The 8,147-nt window shown below is 46.1% G+C and overlaps 3 annotated features.

Annotated features, from left to right (window-relative positions):
• Window positions 1,214-2,123: an enhancer, noted in NCBI's record as "NANOG-H3K27ac-H3K4me1 hESC enhancer chr1:115332573-115333482 (GRCh37/hg19 assembly coordinates)". NCBI's record gives its function as "activates a minimal SCP1, AML or CMV promoter by ChIP-STARR-seq in primed H9 embryonic stem cells {active_cell/tissue: H9 hESC(primed)}" and the evidence as "EXISTENCE:reporter gene assay evidence [ECO:0000049][PMID:30033119]".
• Window positions 2,124-3,031: an enhancer, noted in NCBI's record as "H3K27ac-H3K4me1 hESC enhancer chr1:115333483-115334390 (GRCh37/hg19 assembly coordinates)". NCBI's record gives its function as "activates a minimal SCP1, AML or CMV promoter by ChIP-STARR-seq in primed H9 embryonic stem cells {active_cell/tissue: H9 hESC(primed)}" and the evidence as "EXISTENCE:reporter gene assay evidence [ECO:0000049][PMID:30033119]".
• Window positions 6,486-6,703: a silencer, noted in NCBI's record as "fragment chr1:115337845-115338062 (GRCh37/hg19 assembly coordinates)". NCBI's record gives its function as "represses an EF-1alpha promoter that drives an FKBP-Casp9 reporter gene in an ReSE screen in K562 erythroleukemia cells {active_cell/tissue: K562}" and the evidence as "EXISTENCE:reporter gene assay evidence [ECO:0000049][PMID:32094911]".

Below are 8,147 nucleotides of genomic sequence, written 5' to 3' on the forward strand. Positions count from 1 at the left end.
TGCTCTTAGCATTTTTTCCTTCATTTCAACCTTGGAGAATCTGACGATTATGTGTCTTGGAGTTGCTCTTCTCAAGGAGTATCTTAGTGATGTTCTCTGTATTTCCTGAATCAGCATATTGGCCTGTCTTGCTAGGTTGGGGAAGTTCTCCTGGATAATATCCTGAAGTGTGTTTTCCAACTTGGCTTTATTCTCCCCGTCACTTTCAGGTACCCCAATCAATCGTAGGTTTGGTCTTTTCACCTAGTCCCATATTTCCTGGAGGCTTTGCTCCTTTTCTTTCTTTCTTTCTTTCTTTCTTTCTTTCTTTCTTTCTTTCTTTCTTTCTTTCTTTTTTTTTTGAGATGGAGTTTCGCTCTTGTTGCCCAAGCTGGAGTGCAATGGCATGATCTTGGCTCACCATAACCTCTGCCTCCTGGGTTTAAGCAATTCTCCTGCCTCAGCCTCCTGAGTAGCTGGGATTACAGGCATGTGCCACCACACCCAGATAATTTTTGTATTTTCAGTAGAGATGGGGTTTCTCCATGTTGGTCAGGCTGGTTTCAAACTCCCGACCTCAGGTGATCCGCCTGCCTTGGCCTCCCAAAGTACTGGGATTACAGGCGTGAACCACCACGCCCAGCTGTTTGTTCCTTTTCTTTCTTTCTTTCTTTTTTTTTCTAATCTTGTCTTCAAGCCTTATTTCAGTAGTTGATCTTTAATCTCTGATATCCTTTCTTCTGCTTGATTGATTCGGCTATTGATACTTGTGTATGCTTCACAAAGTTCTTGTGCTGTGTTTTTCAGCTCCATCAGGTCATTTATGTTCTTCTCTAAACTAGTCATTCTAGTTAGCAGTTTCTATAACCTTTTATCTAGGTTCTGAGTTTCCTTGCATTGGGTTAGAACTTGCTCCTTTAGCTCAGAGGAGTTATTACTCACCTTCTAAAGCCTACTTCTGTCAATTCATCAAACTCATTCTCCATCCAGTTTTGCATGCTTGCTGGAGAGGAGTTGCAATCATTTGGAGGAGAAGAGGCATTCTGTTTTTTGGAATTTTAAGCATTTTTGCGCTGTTTTTTCCTCATCTCCATGGATTTATCTACCTTTGATCTTTGAGGCTGATGACCTTTGGATGGGGTATTTGTGTGGAGGTCCTTTTGTTGATGTTGATGTTGTTGCTTTTTTTTTTTTTTTTTTTTTATTCACAGATGACATGGTCTTTTTTGTTTTTTGTTTTTTTTTTTGTTTTTTTTTTTTTTTATTGATCATTCTTGGGTGTTTCTCACAGAGGGGGATTTGGCAGGGTCATAGGACAATAGTGGAGGGAAGGTCAGCAGATAAACAAGTGAACAAAGGTCACTGGTTTTCCTAGGCAGAGGACCCTGCAGCCTTCCGCAGAGTTTGTGTCCCTGGGTACTTGAGATTAGGGAGTGGTGATGACTCTTAATGAGCATGCTGCCTTCAAGCATCTGTTTAACAAAGCACATCTTGCACCGCCCTTAATCCATTTAACTCTGAGTGGACACAGCACATGTTTCAGAGAGCACAGGGTTGGGGGTAAGGTCACAGATCAACAGGATCCCAAGGCAGAAGAATTTTTCTTAGTACAGAACAAAATGAAAAGTCTCCCATGTCTACCTCTTTCTACACAGACACAGCAACCATCCGATTTCTCAATCTTTTCCCCACCTTTCCCCCCTTTCTATTCCACAAAGCCGCCATTGTCATCCTGGCCCGTTCTCAATGAGCTGTTGGGCACACCTCCCAGACGGGGTGGTGGCCGGGCAGAGGGGCTCCTCACTTCCCAGTAGGGGCAGCCGGGCAGAGGCGCCCCTCACCTCCTGGACGGGGCGGCTGGCCGGGCGGGGGGCTGACCCCCCCACCTCCCTCCCGGACTGGGCGGCTGGCCTGGTGGGGGGCTGACCCCCCCCACCTCCCTCCTGGACGGGGTGGCTGCCGGGCGGAGACGTTCCTCACTTCCCAGACGGGGTGGCTGCCAGGCGGAGAGGCTCCTCACTTCTCAGACGGGGCGGCTGCCAGGCGGAGGGTCTCCTCACTTCTCAGACGTGGCGGCCGGGCAGAGACGCTCCTCATCTCCCAGACGGGGTGGCAGCCAGTCAGAGGCCTCCCCACATCCCAGACGATGGGCGGCCGGGCAGAGACGCTCCTCACTTCCTAGATGTGATGGCGGCCGGGAAGAGGCGCTCCTCACTTCCCAGATGGGATGGCGGCCAGGCAGAGATGCTCCTCACTTTCCAGACTGGGCAGCCAGGCAGAGGGGCTCTTCACATCCCAGACGATGGGCGGCCAGGCAGAGACGCTCCTCACTTCCCAGACGGGGTGGCGGCCGGGCAGAGGCTGCAATCTCGGCACTTTGGGAGGCCAAGGCAGGCGGCTGGGAGGTGGAGGTTGTAGCGAGCCGAGATCACGCCACTGCACTCCAGCCTGGGCGCCATTGAGCACTGAGTGAACCAGACTCTGTCTGCAATCCCGGCACCTCAGGAGGCCGAGGCTGGCGGATCACTCGCGGTTAGGAGCTGGAGACCAGCCCGGCCAACACAGCGAAACCCCGTCTCCACCAAAAAAATACGAAAACCAGTCAGGCGTGGCGGCACGCGCCTGCAATTGCAGGCACTCCGCAGGCTGAGGCAGGAGAATCAGGCAGGGAGGTTGCAGTGAGCCGAGATGGCAGCAGTATAGTCCAGCTTCGGCTCGGCATGAGAGGGAGACCGTGGAAAGAGAGGGAGAGGGAGACCATGGGGAGAGGGAGAGGGAGAGGGAGAGGGACAGGGAGAGGGAGAGGGAGAGGGAGAGGGCAATGTTGTTGCTTTCTGTTTGTTAGTTTTTCTACTAATAGGCCCCTCTTCTGCAGGTCTGCTGCAGTTTGCTGGAGGTCCACTCCAGACCCTGTTTGCCTGTGTATCACCAGCGGAGGCTGCAGAACAGCAAAGGTTGCTGCCTCTCCTTCTTCTGGCAGCTTCATCCCAGAGGGGCACCGGCTTGATGCCAGCTGGAGCTCTCCTGTATGAGGTGTCTGTCAACCCCTGTTGGGAGGTCTCTCCCAGTCAGGAGGCACGGGGGTCAGGGACCCACTTGAGGAGGCAGTCTGTCCCTTAGCAGAGCTCAAGCGCTGTGCTGGGAGAATGCTCCTTGTCAGGATCTGCTGCACTCTTCAGAGCTGGCAGGCAGGAATATTTAAGTCTGCTGAAGCTGTGCCCACAGCCTCCCCTTCCCCCAGGTGCTCTGTCCCAGGGAGATGGGAGTTTTATCTATAAGCCCCTGATGGGGCTGCTGCCTTTCTTTCAGAGATTCCCTGCCCAGTGAGGAGGAATCTAGAGAGGCAGTCTGGCCACAGCCGCTTTGCCACACTGTGGTGCGTTTGGCCCAATCTAAACTTCCCAGCCTCCTTAGCACTGTCAGGGGAAAACCGCCTACTCAAGCCTCAGTAATGGTGGATGCCCCCCCTACACCAAGCTTGATCATCCCAGGTTGACATCAGACTGCTGGACTGGCAGTGAGAATTCCAAGCCAGTGGTTCTTAGCTTGCTGGGCTCTGTGGGAGTGGGACCCGCTGAGTGAGAACACTTGGCTCCCTGGTTTCCGCCCTCTTTCCAGGTGAGTGAACAGTTCTGTCTCGCTGGGGTTCCAGGCACCACTGGGGTAAGAAAAAAAAAACTCCTGCAGCTAGCTCGGTGTCTGCCCAAACAGCCGCCCAGTTTTGTGCTTGAAACCCAGGGCCCTGGTGGTGTAGGCACACAAGGGAATCTCCTGGTCTGGGGATTGGATTGCAAAAACCGTAGGAAAAGCATAGTATCTGAGCCAGATAGCACAGTCCCTCACGGCTTCCCATGGCTCGGGGAGGGAGAGACCCCTGGCTGCTTGCGCTTCCCCGGTGGGGTGATGCCCCACCCTACTTTTGCTCGCCCTCTGTGGGCTGTCCCCACTGCCTAACGAGTCCCAATGAGACAAACAATATACCTCAGTTGGAAATGCAGAAATCTCCCGCCTTCCGTGTTGGTGTTGCTGGGAGCTACAGACTGTAACTCTTCCTATTTGGCCGTCTTGCCAATCTCTGGGGATCATTCTTTAGAAAGACTATTGTAAACACTTCCTTTTAAATTATAGCTAACTCGGCTGGGTGTGGTGGCTCACACCTGTAATCCCAGCAATTTGGGAGGCTGAGACGGGTGGATCACGAGGTCAGGAGATTGAGACCATCCTGGCTAACATGGTGAAACCCTATCTCTACTAAAAATACAAAAAATTAGCTGGGTGTGGTGGCGGGCACCTGTAGTCCCAGCTACTCGGGAGGTTGAGGCAGGAGAATGGCGTGTACCTGGGAGGTGGAGCTTGCAGTGAGCCGAGATTGTGCCACTGCACTCCAGCCTGGGTGACAGAGCCAGACTCTGTCTCAAAAAAAAAAAAAAAAAATTATAGCTAACTTAATCACACACAAAATTCCTTTGATAAATTCTCCTTCACTATCCTTGTCATAACTTACACGTAACTATGACATGCTTGGGGTTCCTAATTTGTCCTCTTTCCTAAATAATCAGTCATTTTGCTTTAGGACAAAAATTTACCGTACAAGATCCTTTTTCATAAAAACTATTCTCTTTTCTTTATGGCATTCCTTACCAAAAATATGCCATAACTTTTTTCACATCTCGCTCCCCTACTTACTGATTTTTTAACCTTCTTCAATAAATAACTTTCAAGTAACCTCCAAATGACACAATTTTTTTCAATAAGAACACAACTTACAGAAGCGTATATCAGCTAGAATACTTATCCTTTGAAACCTTAAATTTTAGTGCAGAAAACTCTGAACTGTCTGATGGATGTTAGCATTTTATAGATGAAACCATTCCACAGTTTTAGAAATATGTTTTTCTATATCATAAGCTTTTCTTAATTGGAAATTACCCAGACATTAAATGAGAATTTATTACTTAATTCAAAATAATTAAAAAATTTAAAATTATACATAAAGTCCACTTATAAGCATTTATCTTACTTACATGTACTCAATTTTTTCATTTTAACAGTTTCTCTAGATTACTTGTGAAAACCGAGATATTACACAAAACTAATTATTATTTGAATTTATTTCCCAGTTAATCATTTTTAAAGTCGGAATAGCAGGTGAACACTTAAGTAAGAACCTTAAAGTTAAATGCCTTTTGCTGTTAACTCAGAAGATTCAGCTATTTTCATTGAACCAACAATATTAAATTAGTCTTATTTGACAAAAAAAATCACACAAAGATTATTCTGTTTTTGCCTGGGTTTATAGTCTCACAACCTTTGTGACAAACCCTGACATCTTAATATAGAGACAGAGACAAATATAAAATCATTTGTTCAATAAACTCAGACAAAAATGTATGCTGACAATTCTGATGACATTTCTATTTTTACCAATTTTTTTTTTGAGACAGAGTCTCACTGTTGCTCAGTATGGAGTGCAGTGGCGCAATCACAACTCACTGCAGCCTTGACCTCCCCAGGCTCAGGTAATCCTTCCAGTTCAGCCTCCCGAATAGCTGGGACTACAGGCATGTGCCACCACACCTGGCTAATTTTTCTATTTTTTGCAGAGACTGGGTCTTGCTACATTGCTCAGCCTTGTCTAAACTCCTGGGCTCAAGCTATCTTCCTGCCTTGACCTCTCAGAGTGTTGGGATTATGGATGTGAGCCACCATGCCTGGCCTATTTTTGTCAATAATTTTAAAGCCAGTTTTATTTACCAGAGATTCATGTAAATTTGAAAAGCATTTGGACTTAATTTATGAGTACCCATTTACTTTTAAGCCAGTTTTGTAGCATGCTAGACACAACGTATAACATAATACATGTACATACCCATAAGCTTATCAAAACATGTATACATACATGCACAAAGGTCCAATAGCTTTTACCTCAGAACCCTAGCCTTAAGATAGCAATACAAACTCACCACTTTACAAAAGATAGCTGAATCCAAATTATTTTTCTGATGAAATTGGAACCTGTTCACATGGCTAAAACCTGATAGGTAATCTAAGGAAAGCTGTGGACCAGAATTTGGGTAAAGCAGTTTTCATGGCAGTTTTGATTTTAAAAACATCTTTTACCTCTTTTTTTTCTGTCAGTTTCAAATAAGTTTCTAATGTTTCCATTTTAGCCAGAACTGGCTGATGTGTATAAGAAAAATGAAATCTCCAAGTAACCTTGAAACAGTAAGTTTTATTTCAACACCAGTAGCTTAATAACAGGTTCAAAGTAGGCAGAAAAGAAAATAAATTGATAGCTTTAGAAGACTTCTTAACTTTATAGTTGCAGGCTAACCATTTGAACTGTGAATTTTCCTTAGTATAATTTGCCCATTAGTTAAAAATGTGCACAAAAACTGGCAATAATATATAACCAGCTGGAGTCCCAGATAGTCTAGGAAAAAGTTCACATGCTTCCCCACTACATCCCCCAAAGCTTGACACAGTTACAGGAAATACTCTGGATTCCCCAAAAGGATGACAATATCAGGGGCCAGGAGATTGAAAACTGTTACTCCCCAAGAAGGACAGGAGCAGCCTCTCTTGCTGCCTTCTGACAAGCAGATGAGACTGGTCTTATTGGGTGGGACAGAGACTGTGCTAAAGTACTCTGGGATGGAGGGGTAACAGTAAACAGAGACACAAACACAAACAGATCTGATGTAGACCCAGCATTCCAAATTGATCCTAAAGAGGGAAGACTGGAGAAAAGTCCTGAGATCTTGTGTGAAACCCAGGTGGCACCACAGAGTGACCTGCATTCAGTCCAGATGTCACAGAGGCCTACACAGCACCACAGATGACCTATACCAGGTCCATGTAGGGGAGACATGAAGGGGAGAGAAGGGAAAATCCCCAAGACAAAAGCAGTCTTGGCAACTGCTGGGAATTCCCTAAGGTCCCAGCTGTGAGGTCAGCTAGCCATGAGAAGCTGGAGTTTGCAAGTGGACTCTGTCCTGCCCAGTAGCATGGGTGGGTAAGCCCTGGTGCACGCCACAGCCAATTGCTCCACTCATTGGAAACCAAGTGTACAGGTTGAGTCGATCAAAATACACAGTTCCTTACCTGGGGCACCAGATTTGTAACCAGAATGCCCTTTGGCCATTCCCCAACTGCTAGCATTAGTCGCTAATGCTAAAGTTGCTCTTCTTTCACCACACCTTGCTTCTCCTGTATTTGGCCTCTGAGTGCTGAGCAGTAGGACTTAAGCCAGTCACACTATGACCATGAGTGTACAAATATTCTTTAAGTCCCTGCCTTCAGTTCTTCTGGGTAGATACACAGAAGTATAACTGGGGAGGCATGAAGTTGAAAGGAGTTCTACATTTCAAGATAATCCAACACTTCCACCTCACCCATCAATAAACCAATCTTTAGTGTTGTTTTGTGGAAATTATACAAATTACCCAAGACCGCTTTTACTTGTTCTGAATTATTTTCATTCTGGTCTAATTTCCGTCTGTCTCCTGTTTCTTGGCTACATTTGCTCCTTATTATTTCACTCTTGCTCTTTGGGCCAGAAAGCAATTGTGGGTCTCCCTAACTTTATGCTCAACTCTCAGACTACCCTATTTACAATTCCACTTCTGCTTCTTTTTGGGTATATACCTTGCCCCAGAGATCCTTTGAGGATTGAAATGCCAAATCTGACCCACAAGGCAGTGTTCCTGCCACACCTGAACTCTAGTGAGGGAGGGACTTGTACATTTTATTGCAAATTCCTCTTCCAATACCATGCCCATTGCTATAGCCATACCACACAGACAGGATAACAGGCTTACTTTTGTCACTGAACATGAGAAATGCTGCAGAAGTATGGGAGTACAGGGCTCTGCAAGTAGAAGGTGAGCCCATTGGTCCAATAACAGAGGCAAGGGCAGAGCTACTGTACTTTATCTGGCCAGTACCACTCACACAGCTCCTTTGAGTCATGTCCACACATCCATACCATACCTGTTAATGCCACCTCTGGAAAAAATTTTCAATAATTCAAAATGCAAATCTTTATAGAAACTTATAATCTATGGTGGGAAGCATAGATGGAAAGCATTTCATGTCCCATACTGCATTTACTAAGTATCCTATTTTACTCCTTTCTCCTTTCCCATATGGTCAGTTTTGAGCTCTCA

Source organism: Homo sapiens, chromosome 1 (assembly GCF_000001405.40).
Source record: "Homo sapiens chromosome 1, GRCh38.p14 Primary Assembly".
NCBI classification, from domain to species: Eukaryota; Metazoa; Chordata; class Mammalia; order Primates; family Hominidae; genus Homo; species Homo sapiens.